Genomic DNA, 23,968 nt, shown 5'->3' with positions numbered 1-23,968 from the left:
GCAACCTCCAGAGGCCAGGAATGTGAGTGCTTAAGATGCACGGATTTGCACTGACCCGCACAGGAAGCAAAAGGCTGTGCTCAGTTAAACAGTGCTGGTATCAGTGCTCAGTTAAACAGTGCTCAGTTAAACAGTGCTGGTATCATGATCACTGGGCCTCTTGACAACTTGAGAGCTGCACTCCTTACCCAGCGTGTACGTGGGGCCTGAGAAGCTACGGTCCCCGCTGATGCCGAGGAAAGGAGAAACCACTTGCTTCACCAGCTCCTCCAGTTGCAAATAACTCTCACTTGGGCCTGTGGGCTCGTGAACACTCTGGAAAATGAACAGCCAAGATACACAAAGGTCAGTGTTCATTGCCATGACCAGCAGGTTCTCACTCAACAAATCCTGATTGTCCTCCTCCAATGTACAAGGCTGTGTTGCTGGCAGGCAGCATCCTTGCAGTTAGGATGAAGGAAACTGAGGCCTGAAGCCTTAGTCACTTGTCATGGGTCACTGCAATTAGAACTGTGCATGGTTAGTACCACAGCAGCCTCTCCCACTGGGCCACCAATGCAGTGTGGGTGTCCCACCTCCAAGGCTGAGATCTGGCTGGTCTCAAAGACAATAATCCTACCCATACTGTCATCGTGACTGGTTCATAAACAGCACAGAGACATTTAACATATATTAATGCACGGAGGTCTCCTGACAATGCAAAGAGGAAGGTGCTCTTATTATCCCCCTTCTGTGGATGAAGAACTAAAGACCCAGAGAGCTTAAATACCTTGAGCAGAAAAACACAGCCAGTAAATGGCAAAAACCCTGAACTGGAACCCAGGCTATCTGGCTCTGATCCCCTCTTCTGCCACTTGCTAACAGGCTAGAAAAGAAGAGAGGAAAGAATATGGAAAAGTTCAGGGCTATAAGAGAAAGGGATAATTCTTTTTGAGCCAGGAATAGTTTTAGCGCCAAGATGAAGAGCCAATTAAAAACCCCGGCATGACAGGAGTCCTCAGAGCTAAGCCCTGAGTAAAGAATGGTCAAAACCAGAAAGGAGCCAGTAACCAATGTTTTCTAGAAAACTGGCAGACTCCTGGGGAGTTCAGCTTCTTGCTGGAAAGGACTCAAACATGCTGTCATGTTGAGGGGCTGCAAAGAAGCAAAGACCACCTGGCAGGAGAGGGGACTGGCCAGGAAAGAAACAAATCTCCATGGGGCTGTGCCCAGCCCAAGGGGTTAACATGCAAATTCTCGAAATGGAGTAGACTCTAAATCACTTTCACTTTCAAAGTAGACTCCACTCCAGTGCAGTGTTTCAGGGATTGAAGGGGAAGCTGTTCAGGTAATGAGGCAGGAAGGGCTGACTCCTGCATGTTGGCAATCCCAGGGGGAGATGTAAGCTGCCAAGGAAACAGGCTCTTCCTTGGCCCCTTTATGGTACCATTACACTGAGATGGGTGCGGCCAGGGGCTGGGGGAGAGAGGACACAGCTTCAGGAAATACAAGGAAGCTGAGGATGGGGCTATGGTGCAGATTTGGAGGTAGAAACAGGGCCAGAAGAGATGCAGAGAAAATGAGTGGCTTCTCCCCCAAACCTTCCATACCTGCTAAACAGGGAGGGACCACAGAAAAAGGAGAAGTGGCAAAAGGTGGGAAGAAAATGGATAATGAACACGTGATTTGGAGCTAGATGGTTTTCTCTCAGAAAAGTTGCTGCTGAGAACTTGGCTTGTGCACAGCCCTCTAGGAAGGTGCTGTCCTCAGCCCTTGGCTTGGCTGCCAAACAGCTATGGAATTTGTGTGGTCCAGCGTAAAATGAAAATGCAGGGCCTCGTGTTCAAAAATCATTAAGAGTGTCAAATGCTGATGGGAGAAAATAAAACCAAGCTCAGGGTCCTCTGAGTACAGGCTGCACACCCTGCCTGGCTGGGGCCCCTGAGAATGCACCATTCCGGTGGTCTCAGGACCTGTCTGCATCAGCTGGGAGGAAACAGATCTTCACAGTGGTCAATATCTCCGATTCTGCCTCTCACTGGGGCAGTTTGAAGGCAGAGCACATGGCCCACTGTAGGAGTATTTGTACAACTTGGGAAGGGTGGAGTTGGGTCAGGGACATTGTGGAAGAGCGACAGAAAAGACGGAGCTGAAGGCCTAAGAAAGAGCTCTTTTCTCTGTAGTAGGGTCAGGTAGTTTTGAAAAATATCAGCCCCAGGTCTCATGGCACTGTGGAAAGTGCATGTCTAGGGAGAGAATGGACAATTCTAAGTACGGAGGCCCAAATTTCCTGTAGCAGATATGGCCCCAGGGCAGTGCCACCTGGAAGTTCCATTCAGATCCAGAGGCCATCGCCCTTGCTGCTCAAGATGGACTTGGGCCGGGGAAAGATCCGGGTTCTTCACAGTCACATCCCCAGCCCCAGGCTCTAGAGCTCCTGGCAAGGAAGAACATGGGCCAAAGGCAACATTCCCAGGAAGCCCTCAGGGGAAGTGATGCCAGATGCCCTGCAGGAGAGAGGGACGATCTTTAATGGTCTGTAGGATGCCTGTGGGGCGTTTCCAAGTACCCTGGGAGACTGCAGAAGGGAGGCAGTAGTTGCCTAGAAAGGCTAAGTGGAGGTAGGAAGATAAGGGCTAAGGGATGGGGAGCAATCCAGCTCTCTTAATAAATGAGTACAAGACCTTGAGAAAAGTCGCCACCTTCTCTGAACCTCCATCTCAGCTGTGAGATGGGAAAAATAATGGTATAGACACAGGAGGAACCATTTCCTTGCCTGACTTTCTGGAAATTCGCCATGATCCCAGAGCTTCTTTGACTGTACTTCCCTCTGCCAAGAGAAGAAGCCCTACATGACGGTCACCAACATGGGTGTGAGGTCAGGGACCCAGCATCAGTCCTGCTCAACCTTCTACTAGCTGGTGCTATATTCCCTGGACAGTGTTTAATTAATACCTATTATGTGCCAAAGACTATGCTGGGTGCTGAGGGCACAAGGGCAAGGAGAAAACATTGACCTGCCTTGATTAGACAGGGGCTTGAGGACCCCAGAAGACAAAGTGTTCTGAGCAGGAGGAATGGTGATCACAAAGATCCCACGGCAGCCAGGAGAAGCCAAGAAGACCAGAAAAGTGAGTAAGTCAGGTTCCAGGCAGGGATGGAAGGGTGGGAGATGCTGAAGGCCAGGGTACAGACTTGGGCTGTTTTTCTAAGATCGATTGGAAACCACTGAAGAGTTTGAGGCCGTCCCATGGAGAGCAAATGGGGGTGGGGACCAGAGCGCATGAGGGTAGATTCTCCTGGGCAAGCAGTCTCACCTGTCTTTGGGGACTCAGGGGTATGATGACAGCTTTCTCATATGGCTGCAGGGCTACCTGGCACAGGGCCCGGAATGTTGGAATGTGATAGACACAGGCCCTCCTGTTCCAGCAGCAACAGGTGAGAGTCTTCACCTGCAGGACTGGATCAATTCTCCTTCCCACAAAACCAAACAAACCGCCACCGCCCAAAACACAAAGGAATCGCTTCTCAGCCCTAAACTATTATAAACTGATATGGGAAGATGGGAGCCCAACTTTCCGAATTTTCCTATCAGAATCCCAAAGGGCTCATTTTCAAGACTCCTTATTCAGGAAGCATGCTCTAATTAAGGCTTCTCAGACCCGAGCCCCACATGCATTTTTCTATCCCCCTCCTTCTCCATCTCTTCCATAAAAATACTTGACCTGGCATTCCGGCCAATTACACCCACCCTCATCCTATTAGGCAACTCTTCCTCCTCTCTAATTACAGGAAAGGGGGAGAATGCCCAGAAGGATGGCCCAGCTTCAAGGACTGAAAGAGAGCACCAGCTGGGGGATGTGGGGGAAGGATTGGGGCCCCAATGCCTGACATTCCATCACTGCTGTGAGGGCAGCAAGGGGTCATCACTAGCCTGATCAAGGATGAAGCCATCTTCCCTGAGGAAGGGCTCAGAGCTAATGCTGCAGCATCTGAACTTGTTACAGAGGTGAAGAGGCATAGTAGTCACCTCTTGGGGGTGTCCCTAGCCAAAAACCCTACTCGTCGAGAATTGTGTGCCCCCACCCATAGGAATGAGTTTGCCAAGGCCATGTTTATACTGCTTGATCTTATTCAAGGGTCATGGCTGATTGGGCAAAGAGGAATCATCTAGCCCAAGCTGGACCAATTAAATTATTTCCTCTGGGGAGGAAGCACAGTGTGCATAATTCCAAATCTTACTGCCTCTTCCTAACTGAGGGACCTCAGGCAAGCACACAAACTTACTAGGTTTCATTTTCCTCACCTCTAAAATGGGAATAACAATGCCTACTTCATACAGTGATTGTCTGGATTATCTGATTAAGGAAACAACACACTTAACGTCCTTGGCCTGTGCCCGGCACATAGCCAAGGACCAATATGTGTTAGCTCAAATTCCTAGTATTGATTTAGAATTGGGATTGAGTGACACTAGGCAGCCACTGGGCAGTCTCTTACTGGAAGCACATCAGCTGTGAGGTGTCACATTCGATCAGGTACAAACCAAACACAGAACATAAGCCTGCAGGGAGAAAAAGACCAAGTCCAGGAAAGATAGGATAAGATGAAGACAGACAAAGTAGCCCAGATACAAGTAGAGACTAGAAAGTAGAGAAAGGATGGTGGCTTCATGGCCTGAGACAGCCTCATTCCTGGTTGTAATCCCTCCTGAAGTCCATCTGCCCTAGGAGCTTTTCAGGGAGTTCCTCATCTGCTTAAGCTAGGCCAAAGTGTATTCTTTGCTGTGACTTGCAACTTGTGGCTCCCTGGCATCACTGGAGAGGGGAAAAGGGCATCTACTTCCTGAATGAAAGACTATGCTTCCCTCACTCCCCAGTGTGGTCCTGGCACCAAGCACAGCACCAGGACCTAACAGGTGCTCAGTGAATGCACCTCAAATGAACAAATGAATGAATGAATGAACACGGGCCAACAAACTAAATAGTAGTAAGCCAAGCTAAGGTGCTCTGGTCACTAGGTTCCTTCCCCCTCATCTCAGAAAGGCAATCTCTTCCCTCGCTCCCTCCCTCTGCCTTGGGGCAAGTCTCCAGCACAGCCTCACCTGCAGGATGAGCAACATCTGGACAATGGACGAGGGCAGCTTGGACTGGGCCAGCAGCAGCAGGTCACCCAGCTTCACCTTCAGCAAGACTAGGTCTCGGAAGCCCAGCAGGGAGATCTGGCGGATAGTCAGCTCCTGGCCCTAGAGGGGACAGAGGAGAGAGGGCCGGGAGGTGAGAGCTTACTGAATCTGCCACCGACCATGTGGGGTTCAAGACAACACATGTTTATATAGCACCAAAGATGGGATGAGGCGTCTGCAAGGGCCAGTGTGTCTTTCAAAGAGCCAAAGACCTGGCTCCTCTAGAATTAAAATGCTGTTAAGATAAGGCATGACTCAACCTGCCTACCTAAATGACCGAAAGACAATACAAGGCACATATAATCAGGGCCACACTATTATAAGTGCTATGAGTGGTCACGAAGGAGAGAAAGAGAAAGATGGGAGAAACAAAGAGAAGATCAATACTACCTCCCTACATTCAAGGCCGTTTTCTCAACTTCATCTATAATATATCTGAACATCTATCATACAAATAAAGAAGGAAAACACAGGACCTCTTAGATTGTTGTATAAATACTGTAATTTAGGAAGAAAAATAAATAGGAAAGTAGGAGAAAAGGGATTTGTTCAATTGTGGGGATGGGGTAGGGAGCAGAAGGTGAAAATAATAACTATAAATAAGCTAACATGTATTAAATTCTATGTGCTAGGCATGATTCTACATAGTTTAGATGTCAACCTGTGTAATCCCCACAACCACCCTTTGAGATAGGTACCATTATAAAACCCATTTCACAGATGAAACACCCAAAAACCCAGAGAGTTACTCTAATTCAACCAAAGTACAGCTGCGTTTCAAACCCAAACTTCTTGATTTTAGAGCTGCTCAAGTTTCCCAAGACCAAAAGAGAAAGGAAGGTGCACTTTTCAGTCTCCTTTACACAATACATACAACATGCACTAAAAATCAGTTGTTCTTGGTAGAGCCAAACCCATTTCACAGATGAAACACCTGAAAACCCAGAGACTTACTATAATACACCCAAAGTAGAGCAGGGTTTCAAACCCAAACTTCTTGATTTTAGAGCTCAAGTTTTTCAAGAACAAAAGAGAAAAGAGGGTGAATTTTTCAGACTCTCCTTTGCACACATACATACAAATGCACACTAAAAGCCGGTTGTTCCTGGTAGAACCAAAGACATCATTAGGGTACCCTCCCAAGCTGACCAAGGTTTAAGGATGTTTTATATTTCCTGCAACTCCATAGAGTTTTATAGAAACATGGTCAAGAGTGGTTTTGCTATCTCCATATCCCCTGACCCCCCACATCCAACAGATACACACAATCACCACCCATACATTTCAATACCATAAAAAATTATAAATAGAGCTCACATTATGTTGGGTGCTTTAAATAAGTTATCTTATAATGAGAGACTTTGACTGGGTTTTATTCCTTCAATATCTTTTAAAAGTTGGCCAGTTGGTACTACCTCTGTTGGATGGATTGATGGACAGAGATGCTGAGGCAACAGGAGAGAGCCAGCATTAGGCAGCATTATTCTGGCCAGGTCCTGGCTCTTGGTCCTTTGTGATGCTGGAAGCAGAGGGGACATAAACAACTTTTTGTTCACAACCTTCCAGGGAAGTGAACAATAGAACTGTCTGATTTAAACTATAGAATGTGGGAAGAGAGAAAAAGGAAGACTGGGGCAGGCAACCTTCTAGAAACTAGAACAGCAATTCTGGTGGGAAGGAAAGACTGCAAAGCAAAAGGAAACAATTCTAGGACCTCCTGCTCCAACAACTGCCAAATCACTTTCCAGAACTGATTATTTAGGAATTCCCTAGAAGGTCATCAAGGCATCCCGAAGGACTCTTCATTCCCCTGAACTGCACTCCAAATAGACGATTATTTTGCCTTATTGTTTTTGGTTTTGTATTTATATTATAAAACATTTAAAGGCAAAGATTAAAACAGATCAGAAAAAGGGCTTAAGGTAAAGTTACAAGTCCTCTTCGTCTAATCTCTTATTCTCACTCCACACTGGTAACTGCTCCTTGAGGTTTTTATTTATATTCTGAATTTCTCCAGAAAGTTCCTATATCCACAAAATCACATATAAAACCTTTAAACCCACACAGAGATTATACCCCTCCTACTGTTCTGCAGCTTGCTTTTGTTTCACTTTGTATATTTTGGACATCTTTTCATACCAGCACATATTGACCTCCCTCACTTGTAAGGCTGCGTAATATTCTACCACTGTGTGAACACACTGTGTGTAACCAACCATCTCCTGACCAAGATGCTTTCATTTGCACACGTGTGTGTGTGTGTTTCAAACATATTTATCCATGCCACGTTGGGCATATTTTATCAGCATATCCAGATTATTCTCCTGCAAAGGAAAATTACTCAATCCAAATATGCCTTTAAAAAGTCGTAAAAAAATACTGCCATGTTGCTCTCCAAAAAGATTGCATCCATTTGTACTCCCAGCAACAGTGTATAAGAGAGCCTACTGTCTTACACCAACTGGGGGGATGATTTCCTAAGTAGGATGACTAGGAAAATACAGGTCATAACCCCACTTAGGCAACTCTCAGGAGCTGTGCCCACACTTCCATAACAGTGCCAGTATATGGTAGACACTCAACAGTCACCCATTGTCAACTCATCTGCTCAGCCCATGACGTGGGAAAAACTCATCCAAATAACTGGATTATCTGCTGTGATTCCAACACATTTTATTGTGCAGAGAATAATAATGATATTGATGATGATGGCGACAATTCTTAAGCCCTTACTGTGTGTCATATGCAAAATTAAGTGCTTTTCAAGTATTATCTCACTTACTCTTCTTAACACTCCTGTGAAGCAAGTTTTATTATTTTCTAGAAGAAAACCAAGGCTCAGAGAAGCAAAGTTATCTTCCCAAGAATATCAAGATGATAAGTGGCAGACTGACAATGTGAACCCAGGTCAGTGACATGGTTTGGATATTTGTCCCCTCCAAATCTCATGTTGAAATGTTTTCTCCAGTGTTATAGGTGGGGCCTAGCAGGAGGTGTTTGGGTCATGAGAGCGGATCCCTCATGAATGGCTTAGGTGCCCTCCCCTTGGTGATAAGTGAGTTCTCAATTAATTCACATGAGAGCTAGTTGTTTAAAAGAGCCTGGTGCCTCTTCCCCCATCTCTTGCTTCCTTCTCTCATCATGTGATACACCGGCTCCCCATCACCTTTCTGCCACGGTTATAAGCTTCCTGAAGCCTCACCAGGAGCAGATGCTGGTACTGTGTTTCATATACAGCCTGCAGGACTGTAAGCCAAATAATAAACCTTGTTTTTTTAAATAAATAAATTACCCAGTCTCAGGTATTCCGTTGTAACAATGCAAAATGAACTAATACAGAAAATTGGTGCTAAGGAGTAGAATGTTGCTATGAAGATACCTGAAGGTGTGGAAGCAGCTCTGGAACTGGGTAATGAGCAGAGGTTGGAAGAGTTTGGAGGGCTCAGGGCTCAAAAGATGACAAAAAGACAAGGGAAGGTTTGGACCTTCTTTGAGACTAGTTAAATGGTAATAACTAAAATACTGATAGAAATAGGGACAGCAAAGGCCAGGCTGAGGTGGTCTCAAGTGGAAATGAGGCAGTTATTGGGAACTGGAATAAAAATCACCCTTTTTATGCCTTAGCAAATAATTTGTCTGTATTGTGTCCATGCCCGGGGGATTTGTGGGAGGTTGAACTTAAGAGTGATGACTTAGAGTATCTGGTAAAATAAATTTCTAGGGCGGGCACAGTAGCTCACACTTGTAATCCCAGCACTTTGGAAGGCCAAGGCGGGTGGATCACAAGGTCAGGAGTTTGAGACCAGCCTAGCCAATATGGTGAAACCCCATCTCTACTAAAAATACAAAAATTAGACTGGCATGGTGGCAGGCGCCTGTAATCCCAGCTACTTGGGAGGCTGAGGCAGGAGAATAGCTTGAACCCAGGAGGTGGAGGTTGTAGTGAGCTGAGATTGTGCCACTGCACTCTAGCCTGGGTGACAGAGTGAGACTCTGTCTCGAAAAAAAAAAAAATTATAAGAAACAAAGCATTCAAGATGTGGCATGGCTGCTTCGAACAGCCTAAGATCAGGAATAGGTGTAAAGGAATGACTTAAAGTTGGAACTTATAATTAAAAGGAAAACAGAGCATAAAAATTTGGAAAATTTGCAGCCTGGCCATGCAGTGAAGAAGGAAAAGGCATTTGCAGGAGAGAAATATAAGAGAGCTGTGGAACAATCACTTCCTAGAGAGATTTGCATGACTAAAAGGGAAACAGGTGCTGATAGCCAAGACCAGAGTTTAAAAAAGGCATTGAAGTCATTTCAGAAACCTCTGGGACAGTCCCTCCCATTACAGGCCCAGAAGCCTAAAGGAAATAATGGTTTTGGAGGCCACGCTCAGGGGATGCCTAGTGCTACCTCAGGACACTGCTGCCCACATCCCAGTTTCTCTGGCTCCAGCAGTGGCTCAAAGTGCCCCAGGTACCATTCCAGCTGTTACTCTGGAGGGAGCAAGCTATAAGCCTTGGTGGCTTCCACATAGTGCTAAGTCTACAGGTGCACAGAGTACAAGAGAAGGAGGCTTTGCAGCTTCCACCTAGATTTCAGAAGATGTATAGAAAAGCCTGGGTGCCCAAGCAGAAGCCTACCACAGGGGTGGAGCCCCCACAAAGAGACTCTACCAGGGCAGTGCCAAGGGGATATGTGGGGTTGGAGCCCCTGACACTTCCTAGTGGAGCCGTGGGAAGGGGGTTCTTGCCCTCTAGACCCAAGAAGGGTAGAGCCACCGGCTTGCACCCTGAGCCTGGAAAAACCACAGGCACTCAACTCCAATCTGTGAGAGCAGACCCAGGGGCTGGAACCCTTCAAAGCCACAGGGGCAGAGCTGCCCAGGGCCTTGGGAGCCCATCCTTTGCATCAGTATGTCCTGGATGTGGAACATGGGGTCAAAGACTATTTTGGAGCTTTAAGATTTAATGTCTGCTCTGCTGTGTTTCAGACTCAAGTGGGGCCTGCTGTCCCTTTCTTTTGGCCAAATTCTCCCTTTTGGAATGGGAATGTGTACCCAATGCCTGTGCCACCATTGTATCTTATAAGTAAATAACTTATTCTTGATTTTACAAGCTCGTAGGTGCAAGGAACTTGCCTTGAGTCTCAGATGAGACTTTGAACTTCTGATTGAGTTGATGCTGGAATAAATTAAGACTTTAGGGGACTATTGGGCAGGAATGATTGTATTTTGCGATGTGAGAAGGACATGAGATTTGGAGTACCAGGGGCAGAAAATATGGCTTAGATATTTGTCCCCTCCAAACGTCGTGTTGAAATGTGATCTCCAATGTTGGAGGTGGGGCCTAGTAGAAGGTAGAGTCATAGGGACAGATCCCTCATGAACAGCTTGGTGCCCTCCCCTTGGTAATGAGTGAGCTCTCACTCTTTAGTGAGTTTTCACTCTATTAGTTCTCACTCTATTAGTATGAGAGAGCTAGTTGTTTCAAAAAGTCTGCCACCTCCTCCCTGTCTCTTGCTTCCTCTTGCCATGTGATACACTGGCTCCCCTGTTGCCTTCTGCCATGAGTGAAGGCTTGCTGTGGCCTCACCTGGGGCAGATGCTGGCAACTACACTTCTTGTTCAGCCTACAGAACCATGAGCCAAACAAGCCTCTTTTCTCTATAAATTACCCAGTCTCGGGTATTCCTTTATAGCAACACAAACAGACTAACACAGTCAGTCATGAGCTAACTCTGCAGCTCATGCTTTGAACCACTTTGTTCCTCTTTGGCGCTGCTCCCCCTCCCTCATTTCTTCCCCAGATTATTCTGTTGCCATCATTTCTTCATATGAAATACCTGTAGTCATTTGGGTCTAGACTGGGCATGGGTAGTTATAGCACTCACCTGGAGAACATGATGGATTTTGCCTTTGGGACTTCTAAGCCCATGGTTAAACATTACACTCTCAGAAGAAAAGGCCTGGATTTATAAGTGACCAGCAGGGCATACTGAATCAGTACCTAGTACCTCCTGTGTTTAAAGGTGAGTTTAACCGGGCCAAGGACAGCAACATGCCACAACCATTTATGTTAGAACTGGCTCCAATATCCCAATCTCTCAATATCTAAATTCCTCCCCAGCATAGGTGGGGGGGAGGTTTTATCTTCAGAACTCCTCGCTGGTTCCCAACCCATAAAGGCCTTTTCTATATGCAGAATCTGGCCTTTGATGCAAGCAGAAAATACTTTTAAGGGAGGGTATGGGGTACCCGGTTTATACCAACCTGCCACATAAACAAGTTAATCATTGCTTTCTTAGAGGGTCATTTGGGGCCATTAACCAGAGCACTGGCTTGTTACCAGGACTTAGCCATCTCTTAGGCCCACAATGAATCAGAGAAGGAATTCCTACTAATCCAGAATTCACTTTTCTGTTCTTGTTTTAGGCTTGATGGGGAAAGCATAACAAAACCAAGCCTGTCTCCTCACAACCTACGTACTCCAAAAAAAATAACAGTGCATATCCCTGTTACCCAAATGCCATCCAGTTTCTCTAGGCTAAGCACAAAGAAAAAGTAAAGCCTAAGAGATACAGTCCTATAAAACTATAAATATGTGAACCTGGATCAGCTGAGAACAAAAAGGAGGAGGAAGGCACAGTTTGCCTTTTTCAGGGTATGCTATATACCTCTGATGACCATTTGCTGCAGATCTTCGCCACCTCCCCGGAATATTCCCTGTCCACAATCTGAATATGGACATGCCCATCTCACCCAAACCCAATTCAGCTAATTGAATAAAGCAGGGTTAGCACATGCGAATGGCCTCAGGAGTTGACAGGAAAAGGGAAGCCAGCAAGGTGGGGGCCATGGCAAACTCGAGAAGAGAAGCAGAATTCAAGTCAGTCATTGGGGAGTGAGGAGGTGAACAGGGGCAATATTAATTGTTGCCAGATCTTACCATCTTCCAAGAGAACTGAAACAGAGCTATCCTTAGACCCACATGTCTGGGCTCCTGCCTGGCTCTGAGCTTTTAAAACCCCCCTCCCCAACCTTTGCCCTCTTGACTATACTGGGGCTATGTCCACCCAGATCCTGCACTCTCCATTCTAGAACCATCTGGACACCTGCACCCTGGAATTCCCTACACAAATGGCCTGAAGAGAGACCCAGGGCCCCTCGAAATGGTGGTACCATGTTGCTGTCCTGGGTCTGGTTCAGTTTGCCTTTAAACGCAGGAGGCGCCAGGTACTGATTCAACATGCCCCTTTGTCCACCTACAAATGCAGGTCTTTCCTGCACACCCCTTCTAGTAGGGCTACCAGATAAAACACGGGATGCCCAGTTAAATTTGAAGAGTTTTTCAGTATAAATATGTCCCAAATATTGCATTATTTGCTTATATATGCAATTCAAATATAACTCAACATCCCGTAGTATTTATTTATTTCGAGACAGGGTTTTGCTCTGTCACCCAGGTTGTAGTGCAGTGGTGCAATCTCAGCTCACTACAGCTTCAATCGTCTGGGCTCAAGTGATCCTCCTACTTCAGCTTCCCTAGTACCTGAGACTACAGACACAAGCCACCATGCCTGGCTAGTTTTTTTTAATAGAGATGGGTTGTCATCATGTTGCCCAGCCTGGTCTCAAACTCCTGGGCTCAAGTGATCCACCCACCTCAGCCTCCCAAAGTGCTGTGCCCGGCCAACATCCTGTATTTTTATTTGCTTCATCTGGCAACCTTATCCCCATGCCTATCTTCCTGAGACAAGACTTACTGATGGCTGATGAGTGACTACTGTAAGGAAGGGGAAGGTTTCTGCAGGCTACAGGACAGAAGCTTCTATCTGTACTATCTTACTGGAAATGTTATGGGGTGGGTCTAACATGGAAAATGGAATCTATAAGCATAACCTCCCAGGTTTTAAATATTTGACAAATGTTTTCAGCAATCCAAAATTCCTTTAAAACACTGTTCAGACCAAACAATCTATGTGGTATAAGGTCATTCTACCCATTGCTTAATGGCTGTGTTCCTCTGCATACGACGCCCACACTTCAACAATACCTAATTACATACGAAGCCTCAACCCCAGTGGGAGGAGAGAAGAGGGAGTACACTGCAGCTTAAGTGAGAGAGACATGTATTTTGGAGAGGAACATCTATGGGTCAACCTCCCTTAGCGGTGGCTTCAACCTGGCAGTGACCATCGTGGTATTAGCTCTACAGAGACAAGGGGGCAAGGGTATCAACACAAATGGTAGGAGTAGAGGCCACAGAATAAGAATACTAGAGGTGTCATTCACATTTTATTCTAAATTCCTTATTTTGTAGGAGATACAATGGAGCTATGCTCACAGAAGATAAATGACTCTGCCCAAGCCCACACTCTTGAATCTAAGTCTACAGATTCCTAGTCGAGCATTCTTCCTACTAAATCACGTAGGATCCCTTACAGAGGAACACGGAATGTTACTCCTTTTTCATAATTTGAATGTGACGGCAAACTTGCTTTAAAATTATGCTTCACAAAAAAAAGTAGGGGGAGAGAAGAAAGATAGAGGCAGGGGAGAAAGAAAGAAAAGAAACAAGAAATCTCCCTTCCCCCATCTTCTGTACTTCTGAAAACTAAGAAAAACAAACCACTCCAAGAATATAAAGACATACTCAAAACCAAGAGGGTAACAAGAGCCTACAAATTGCTAGTTATGCAGGCACTCTTCTTCACTTGAAGTTAGGCCCTAAATATAGAACCAGAGAGCCCTTAAACAATCTCTAAACTCCTTAACCAATACAAGCGCCCAATCTCCAAGTTTTCTCCCATTTACCAGGAGCCCTCAGGCCGCAAGGGCCAGGAGAGAAGACAGATCGCTGAGGATGGCAGGAAGTGTTCCCCAATGAGACTAACCTGAACTGGATAAAATATTGCCTGCAGGGTAGGGAGAGTCTCAGTGAAGAAGTGGTCCCAGACTTCAGCCAGAACCTCAATGCGATTTTCACCTACAAGAGGGCGAGAAGATGGGAAGGGAGGAAGAAAGAAAAGAATTCGTCATTACTTGTAGGAGAGGCCAGAAGACAGTTCCACATAAAATGTCAAGCTGCACATGCTAAAAAACTTGCAGCCAGGAGCTATTAAAGCCCAGAGAGCAGAGGTGTGGTGCTACAGGATCTTAATTCCAGGCTAAGACCAACAGAGATTCTCAGGGCAGAAATATATTCCATCTCACAAGGGTGCACGTATTGATCCTAACTCTCTGGTCTTACTAATAAGTAATCTAAACTTACTAGTCTTCACTAGTAAGACTCTGAATGGGAGGCGCAGCATTAGGTGTGGGGAGGAAAGAGAGCTCATTACTTACATTTGATCTACAAGGTTTTACTATAGTAAATGTAGGACTGGGTGGGAGAACTCAACTGAAAATATGCAAATATGCCTTTCCATCCTCCAATCCAGAAAAGGGAGCTGACATCTTAAAATCACATAGTAATTGTTATTACATGAATTGTTACAACATTATCCAGCACTATGCTAGTTTACTTACCTATAAGATATCTCATGACTAGACTCTAATACCCCCGCTTTACAGGCTCAGAGAGGCCAACTAACTGCCCCAAAGTCACACAGCTCGAAGGCAGAGCTGTGATTCCAGAACCCATGCTCTTGGCCAATCTTATCCAGGAAGATCATGTGCACAGCTATATACTGTTTTGTTTTCTTACTCATTAAGATATTGGCTTTATTCTGGGTTTCAGCTGTCAATGGAGAGAGGCAGAAACAGAACTTGGAAACTGTTTCCTCCACCCACTTTACAGTAACTGGGAAGGCAGCATTCTCTGAAAAGGCCATCTGCAAAACACAGCACCTGCCTCCTGATGCTGTCCCTACTCACTTTGAGGATCAGGAAGCCTAAGCTATGGCCAAGTGTCCCTGCTACCCCAGGCTGGAGAGCACACAGGTCACCCAGTGCCATCAGAAGGCTGTGTGAGGAACTCTGCACCTCCAGGAAAGACGGGCCCTGGCAAAGAGGAGCCTGCACAGCATTTGCTGTTTAATGACCTAGATATCAGAGCTGATATTGGTCACTGCCTCTGCTCATCCCAGGCAGAGAAACTGGGTCAGCCAAGATTAGACACTGAGAGACGCGTTTGGCAAGACACTGCCAGTTCCACTGAATAAATCTTGAAAGATTCATTTGGCGCCTCCCGTCTATTAATTTAATGGGCAATAAAAGCAGTGGCTGGGGAGAGAGAATAGAACAAGGGCATGACTAGTAGCCAGGAGGTCCAAAGATGTGCAGATTTTGAAAGGTCAGGGTGAAATTCACAGGGGGAAAATGCAAATCCAGGGCACCCTCAACTTGCCTGTGCAAACCACTGATCACACTTTATCGGAACAGCTTATTCACTTCTTCTCTGTCTCGTCACTGGAACGGGATTGGGAATGGAGCCCCATCTGTCTTGCTCATCATAGTGCTTAGCATGGTGCAGCCACTTCAATAAATCAATCTTTTAAAATCTTTGCGTGAATGGATGGAAAGTGCCAAGTGTATAGATTTTTGCAGATACTGGGGCTGGTGAGTGGAAGGAGGTTACCATTTAACCCAAATATGGGACAGTGTAGAACAGGACTTAATAGTTAGCATGAACATTTTCCTTTGCTCCTAGGATAAAGAAAACATCAGTAATATGATCTACACAGCCCAGGAGAATCTGCCTCCTCCTCCTGGGTCTTGATCCTCTCTTTTGTATTCCTGTCAGCCTTTGGGCTCTAATCATCCCTCTTTCAGTCACCATTCTCTGTCATGCCACAGGGCCTTTGCATATGCTAGCCCTTCTGCCTTGACTGCTCTTTCTCTCCCTTCTTTACCTAACCTACTTCTGTTTATCTTTCTAGTTGCAGCTTGAACATCACTTCTAGGGGAAAGTCTCTCCCCATTGGTCAAACCACCCCGCTGCAGATTGTATTCTTAGTACTTGTCCTAGGTACAGTTTTATACTTGGTGATGATTTGATTCATGTGTGAGCTCCATGAGGGCCTGTAATGCTGTGATGGTTTTTCTGATTCCTGACTCCCCAGCACCTAGCAAAGTACTGGCTCATAGTAGATAATCAAATAAACATTTGATTGAAGCAGTCACCATCCTCTTTCAAATATAGGCTATGCTGTTTCACTGCAGGGAGGAGGAGGGGGAAGTCTAAAAGGACCCTCTCACAATCTGAGTCACCCTGGTTCCTAGAACCAAGGTGAACTCCAGCACCTGGATAATTTACCCCAAAGGGCAAAAGGTTACTCCAGCTTCTTTGTTGATGTCCCTTATCTTAAGCCTTCTACAACCAAGACAAGCAGAGGCCCTCTTGACCTGAAGGAGGGGAAGAAGAGAGAACCTTGCAGGTCAGCACTGGTGCCTACTTACTCCCCCTTTCAATGCCAAGACAGGATGCTCATTGGCACACAAGGTAATTCTGCAACCCAGCAGCAGTAAGACGCCTCCCGAGAACCCAGGTCTAATTGCTGGCTGCAAACTTCAGAGAGTAAGGGAGGTTTTGGAAAGCGTTCAGAGAAGAACATCTGACAGACACAGACCCAGCAACAGGGTAGCCCTGGGGGAGAAAGAGTTAAAGAACACAGGTGCCTTCCCTTCCAGAAACAGCCCATAAGTCAAGGACTTAGCTCCCTGCAAAAATGAAGGGGGTTGGATGGATGGTTCTAGGTGACCGTCCTATAAATCTGCCCTCTAATGTAACGCAGCAGTTTAGGTCACCAGAAGTATATAGGTAAGTATAAGAAACTTCCTAAGACTCAAGGTCACTAAGGCTCTGGAAAAGTTGAAGTTAACATGGCATCTTCTGCCCACAAAACAGCAATAAGTGGATATGAACAGCCACCTGTCTTTTCTGCATCAGTAAAGAAGGGGTGTGTATATATAGACATGTAAGTACCTAAGCGGAGATGTCGACAAAGAGGAGTTTGTTCAGTGACTGGACGGATCATATTAATTGTTTTCAAACTTTGTTTTATAGCAAGTTTTATCCAAACACAATTTTTCTTGGAGTTCTAATACATAAAATTAAAAAGTAGAGATGCCTGGTTGAAGATGGCAGAGTCCCTTAAAGGTTCCCCACATGCCTATTCACTGTACAGAACAGGCCCCAACACCCAGAACTCTAAGACTAGAAGAGACTCAGAGAATATGCCAGGCCTGGTGCTCTCAGGCCATGCCAGGGCAGGGGGACAGAATCTTGGATGAACTTTGTTCATCCTGTCTAGCCCCATTTCTGAGTTTTCACTCTGAGTGTATCTATGATGAGGGTTACTTGGGTGAGAGACATTCAACTTCCCCTTTTAAGGGCACTTGAACCTCTGGTTTTATTCAGTTTCTTTTTCATAGAGCTGTTTTTCCACATTTCCAGGAGCTTGTAATAACTCCCCAGATAACATACATACAATTAATATGGCCAGGGATAATGTTTCCTTTCCCTCCCTTTACCACGCAGTTGTCTTCCACATTTTTGTACTAGCCTGACTCCAAAATGCAAAAGAGGGCTGGGCACAGTGGCTCATGCCTGTAATCCCAGCACTTTGGGAGGCCAAGGCGGTGGATCATTTGAGGTCAGGAGTCGAGACCAGCCTGGCCAACATGGTGAAACGCCTACTAAATATACAAAAATTAGCTGGGCGTGGTGGCACGTGCCTGTAATCCCAGCTATTCAAGAGGCTGAGGCATGAGAATCACTTGAACCTGGGAGGTGGAGGTTGCAGTGAGACGAAATCATGCCACTGTACTCCAGCCTGGGCCACAGAAGTGAGACTCTGTCTCAAAAAAAGAAGCAAAAGAGCCACTAAATTCTTGGTCAAAGCAAGTCACCTAAGAATAAGCCCCTTCCTTTGACACATGAGAGGATAAAGCTAATGTAGCATACACATAAAATGGAATATTAGCCTTAAAATAAGAAGGGAATCCTGTCACATGCTACAACATGAATTTGAGGACCTTATGCTGAATAAAACTAAGCCAGTCTCAAAAGGACAAACACCATATGATTCCACTTATAAGACGCCTAGATTAGTCAAAGCATGGAAACAAAAAATAAGATGGTGGCTGTCGGGGGCTGAGGAAAGGGGGCAATGTTGGGAGTTGTTCAATGGACGTGGAGTTTCTGTTTTGCAAGATAAAGTTCTAGAGATCTGTTACACAACAATGTAAATATAATTAACACTACTGAACTGTAAAGTACTGAAATTATAAAGAGGGTATATTTTATATTGTGTGGGGTTTTGTTTAACCACAATTTAAATTTTTTTTTCTAAAGGTCTTGGGTTATTGGGTATTTATAAGGTTGAAAAAAAAATGTCATCGATGTATTCAAGGGAAGAATGGCTACAGGTTCAGCCAACTCTCAAATGTGCAAAGGTTAATTTCTAACCTCTATTCTTCCCAAGGCTTGGTAAGCATTAACTGTTTGCCAGACCTTGGAACTTTCCAGCGTCAGTTTCTCATTTTCCTTCCTACTTTGTCTTTCTAGGAGCCCCTTTCCTGGACACACTCGTGTCTTTCCCAGGGAATGGGAAGAAACAAAAGGATGATGACATGACACCTAATAAGTCTGGATCTGGAAGTAAGTTTGATCTACGGTTCATTAGGCTGGAGCAGAAAAAAAAGAAAGGGTCCGGTATGTTCGCCTGTGTGCCAGGTATGGTGTTATGCCACTCATGTGCCTTATATTCCCTACAACCCCTCACCCCAATTTATCACTTCAAAAATGATAAAAGCTGAGACTTGGAGAAACTAGTAACTAACCAAAAGTCACCCAAGAAGGAGGTGGCAAGCTAAGATCAAGCCCCACTTTGGTGGGAGCTAAGAGTAGCCCTTGGTAGAGTCATGGGGTTGGCTAATTCTTGCCTTTGGAACCTGTTTCTATCTCCATTCAGTTCCTTTCTTTCCTGTCAGTTGGACTTTAAACTCTAAGATCAGGAAATTTCCCTTTATCTATCAAATCATACCCTATTGAGTGAGTGCCTGCTTAGCCTAATGTCCTGCAAATGGACAGGACTCCTCTCTTCTATGACTCCCCAGAAATATTACAAAGGCCTGTAGGAAATAGCTCGGGACAGACCAGAGGAAATAGCATGGAGGATTCACAGTATAACTTATACCTTCAAAGGTGACCACCAGCCTGCATCCCATTAAAAACAAAAACAAAAACAAAAACAAAAACAAAACAAAAAAAAACCCTGAACAAGGTCTCCAAAGAAACCACCCCGTCCCACTACATTTTTCTGAAACACAGTTCTGACTTGCACTGCTGTGAGCAGCTGACTCAAATCAAAGTGCTGCTGCCTAGGTAGGGAGGAAACGGACAGGGTGAATCACTCGCTTGGAGCCTGCCCCTTCTGGACAGAAGCATCTCAGCCGTCCAGACATCAAAGACTGAGTCACAGAGGCCCCAGTCTACCAGGGCTGTCTTGTACTTGCCTTCACACAGCTTGATCTTCTCCTCCACAAAGAACAGTCCTTTTGCAAGAAGCTGGTTCTGCCAAAAGAGAACAAAGAACATAAGAATTTGGACAACTCCAGAGCGTAAGTGATGAACCCTCTTCCACTTCCAGTGGGCAAGGGCACAGAGTTCTAGGCACTTGTGTTCTAGCCGTGCCTCGGAGTTTAAGAAGCCTTTTTTCCTCTTGGAAGGTTAAGGCTTCCGGAGAAGACAGTGAGACTTCCCATAGCAAAAGAACGAGTGAGATAAGAGGCAAACCCAACCGCCACCCTCATCCCTCAGACGAGGGAAGAGGCATGACACAAACTTGGGATGAATTCGCTATTGTTGACACCCAGTGTCCTAGAGGCCCTTAGTGATCTAAACTCACAAAAGGAAGCATTGAGGCAATGGGAAACTATGCAGAAATAACATATTTTTTTTTAAAAAAAAAGATAAATTTAGGGCTTCTCACACTAGCATGAAAGAGACTGCGTGCAAAATCTTAAGCAGCAGTGAATATGCATCTGTCAATGAATGTGTGCATGGGAAATTGTGGAAAGAGAAAGTAAAGTCCTCTTGCAACTGCAACTAACAATTGTTGAGCGTCCTGTCTACATCATAAGATTTATATCCTTCATCTCATTTAATTCAATCCTATCAAGTTGGTGCTACTGTCCTCACTTTACTGATGGTTAGTGAAGAGACTGCTCAAGGCAGACAGACCTGGTCTTCCTGGGTCTGTAAGCCATGTTCTTTCCACTCCACTTCGCTGCCTTCCAGCAAGTCTTCCCACCCAGACCCCTTTCTTCCCTTGAAAGGCTATAGTTGGCCCCCTAAGACTTCTGCAAGTCACAGAAGCTCAGAGATCAATGACGGGCTGGTGTCTTTACACTCATGTCATATTATTAGATTACCCAGGCCTATGATTATGGGAGAGGCAGCTGCAAAGGTGATATGTATCTTACCAAAGTACCTAATGCATTCTTTAGCCTTCTCCATTATAAAACCCTAGATCCTACTGCAATGATAAAAGAAGCATATGGAGCAGAGTGGAAAGAACTTGGGTATCAGTTCAAGTTCCAGCTCAGCTACATTCTAGCTGTGCGATTTTGTATTTAATTTCCCTGAGTCCCAAGCTCCTCATATGTAAAATGGCATAATACTAGCAATACCATAACATTCTTCATTATAATCATTATAAACACATTAATCATTATAAACACATACACACAGTATTTTATGTCCTTAGTAATCAGCACTGGTGGTAGGAATAGTAATAGCTGCTATCTCAGCCCAACTTCTTCAAAAAAGGAGTGGGAGGCTGAGAGTCAGTAGTGAATGGGCCTTTATAAAATGTACTAATAGAACATTTTATCAAAGGTACTATCCCATTTCTGTGATGGATACACATTAACCAAATTCATACTCCTATTAAGATTTACAAAATATGACCTAATTTGAAAAAGTAACTGGTCATCAGGTAGTTCTTTCTTTTGAGATGGAGTCTTGATCTGTCACCCAGGCTGGAGTGCAGTAGTGGGATCTTGGCTCACTGCAACCTCTGTCTCCCAGGTTCACGCAATTCTCCCACCTCAGCCTCCTGTGTAGATGGGATTACAGGCACCAGCCACCATGCCCAGCTAATTTTTGTACTTTTTTGGTAGAGACGGGGTTTCACCATGTTGGCCAGGCTGGTCTCGAACTTTTGACCTTAAGTGATCTGCCCACCTCGGCCTCCCAAAGTGTTGGGATTACAGGTGTGAGACACCACACCCAGCCACCATGTAGTTTCAAGATGGCAGATAGAACACCAAATCAAAGTTACAGTGACACCATATAGGAATACACCAACTTTGTTAAAGGAAAAAAAAAAGCAATTCCTTCACAAAGAATTGTGAAACACACAGGCAATAAAGACAAAGCCCTAACCTGTTCTTTAGCTTCCAGCCAAGTTCATGAATCCCAGCTGGGTCATGGCAAGACTTTCTGGGTCAGAAAGCAAGAAAATACATCAGCACCAAATCGACATCTTGTGACAGCTGAGCTGGACATGAGTGGTCTGTGGAGGTGTGTTCAGATGGCAACCACTCCACCTGAATGCTTCTTAGCACAAATCTCATTTGTGCCCTGCAGTCTCCACCTGGTTGGTCCCTTTCACCTAGTCCAGGTGAGGTTCTCAGAACGTCCCCTTAGCATTCTGTGCATGGGCTCCTAAATGTCATTCTTCTCAGCACATCTAGTGTCAACACTGATGTTCCAGGCTTCTATTAAAACAACTTTCCTAACCCTCCCTAATTTCACATTTCTGAGATGCACCTATAGAGGTAATAGAGATCGCCTCTGTGATTCAATTTTCATCATTTTGTTCTATCACTATAATTATCTACATGGGGGGAGGATAGGGGGAACTGAGGCATGGACAGAAATGAAAACCTAGTCCAGGTGATAGCATGAGTTAACAGAAATTAATTCAAACCATTCATTTGTTAGAATTTTAGGTCCTTAGGAGTGAGGACCATATCTCATTTTAGTTAGTACCCTTGGCTCCTGGTATAGTACCTAGAACATAGTAGGTGCCTAATAAATATTTACTGAATATATATACTGGCTATTTTAGTGATAAAGATTTTTTATTTTTAAGAAGCCAAGATAAAAGACAGAATATTTTAAAGAAGAATAAGTGCTATAGGGTCCCTAAGTTTGTTGCCATTTTCTTCATTTGAATTAGAAAATCATTTGAAAATTACATTGTCCATATCTTATGGAATAAACCTCAAATCATGGCCTGGATTTTCCTTTCTTCTCCTTTCTAGGTCTTCTCCCTTCAAGGAGACCTTAGGAAAAAAAATCTTTTTTATATATTTTCAAGGAAAAGTAATTATTCCTATATTATGGAGAAATGATAAAGAAAATACTCTTTTAAAATTTGTCACAATACACAGCATGGAAATTCTATAGCTTAGACCAAAATAAGAGAAACACAAACTTGAGGTTAGAAGGGGTCTTAAGAATCATCTATACATTCTCTCCTCTCCCCAGTCCTACAGTCAAAATCAATTGGTCACACACATTTTGATGATATTTAGTAGATCCATTTCCATTTTCCAGGAGGCTAAAGTACCTTTCAAAGGCATCTTGAAAATCCTTATATAACCCCCTGCCCCCAGGAGTCTGTAGATTTTGCTCTTATCTTATAGCTGTATAAACCGAGGCTAGAAGTAGGGTCTCCCTCTCCAAAATTCCAATAAAAGACATGAGAGTGAGGCTCAGTCTCTCTACTACTCATGTTTTATTCAGCACACACTATCAGAGTAAGGATCTTTTGAGTTAGCCAAGCCCCAGGACTCTCTTCACTGGGGAACCACTGCCATCCACCCAATGGAGCTGTGCCCATCCATTCATGCTCCAACAACCGAGCCACAGCTGCATCTTCCAGCTTTGCTAATGGGTCTCAAACTGAACCCCAAATCTCCTCTCTAGAGAATTGGAGCCCCAAAGGGTCTTGCATTCTTAAGGCCCTTGTACTCTGAAGGCCTCCACTTGCAGTTGGGTGCTCTGCAGTTGATTCTTAGTATTTTTATCTTTGAATTTATGTTTTATAAGTGAAGTCTGAAGGGATAACAGAACATGCACTGGGGTCTAAAGCCCCAGCTCACCCATGGCCCTGCCTCCTCACCACCTCCCCAGGAGGGATTTTCAGGCACCTACACCTCACCCCTGGTGCCTGGGCTCCACCACCAATGTCACCCTACTCCCAAGGTGCTGACAGAGTCATGTTGGTGGAGGCCTCCGCACCGGTACAGGGAGAGTCAGGACTTGGCATGCACCCTGCAATGTTGTGGGGAGAGGCATAGTGCCAGCCATCCTGCACTCCCTGGACTGGCAGTGCTGCAGTGCAATTGCTGCTGACTCAATGGGGACCTCTCGCCCACTCTCCATCTAGGTACCAAGAGTGCCCAGTGCAGATGTGCAATCTCTTGGGGTTACCTGCCCACTATGAGCTGCAGTGGCAGGCCAGTGGGAAGGGGAGATTGGCATCCCCACACCAGTCTGGTGAGTAGAGTTGTTTTAGAAGAAGCCAGGGACACCAGTGTTGACATTAGAGGTGGTGAGAAGAATGGCATTCAGGATTCTTGCACAGAATGCTGAGTACCCACATGTTCCTTCTGCACTGGGCTCTGCAAATTATGAAGCTCACCCTGTCACTTCACCTAAAGATAGGCCAACTTGACATCTGTGGGGCTTAAGCCTGCTCAAATGGGTTGAAGGCGGGGCGAAACCCAGCCTTGGGTTTCAGGCAGCCATCTTGCATTGTTTGTTCTTCCTAAGTGTCCAGTCTTCCTGGACCTCA

The 23,968-nt window shown here is 45.1% G+C and overlaps 1 protein-coding gene across 4 annotated transcripts in view, besides 1 other annotated feature; it reads right to left on the bottom strand.

The window, feature by feature from the left end:
• Positions 1-23,968, bottom strand: part of PRR5L (proline rich 5 like) — a 168,917-nt gene that overhangs the window by 13,681 nt on the left and 131,268 nt on the right. For 2 of the 4 annotated variants that reach the window (NM_001160167.2, NM_024841.5), the window contains 4 exons: positions 19,614-19,671; positions 14,048-14,139; positions 5,084-5,224; positions 189-315 (listed from right to left, as the gene is read on the bottom strand). In NM_001160167.2, coding sequence (NP_001153639.1) covers positions 189-315; positions 5,084-5,224; positions 14,048-14,139; positions 19,614-19,671 — 418 coding nt within the window. The remainder of the gene's footprint in view (positions 1-188; positions 316-5,083; positions 5,225-14,047; positions 14,140-19,613; positions 19,672-23,968) is intronic. The other 2 variants (NM_001160168.2, NM_001160169.1) reach the window with 2 other exon arrangements.
• Positions 9,752-9,841: an enhancer, noted in NCBI's record as "active region_4632". NCBI's record gives its function as "activates an Ori minimal core promoter by ATAC-STARR-seq in GM12878 lymphoblastoid cells {active_cell/tissue: GM12878}" and the evidence as "EXISTENCE:reporter gene assay evidence [ECO:0000049][PMID:35858748]".

The sequence above is a fragment of the Homo sapiens genome, chromosome 11 (genome assembly GCF_000001405.40).
Source record: "Homo sapiens chromosome 11, GRCh38.p14 Primary Assembly".
Lineage (NCBI taxonomy): Eukaryota > Metazoa > Chordata > Mammalia > Primates > Hominidae > Homo > Homo sapiens.
The sequence above is the reverse complement of the archived record's forward strand: the minus strand, read 5'-3'. Positions and strand labels throughout refer to the sequence as shown.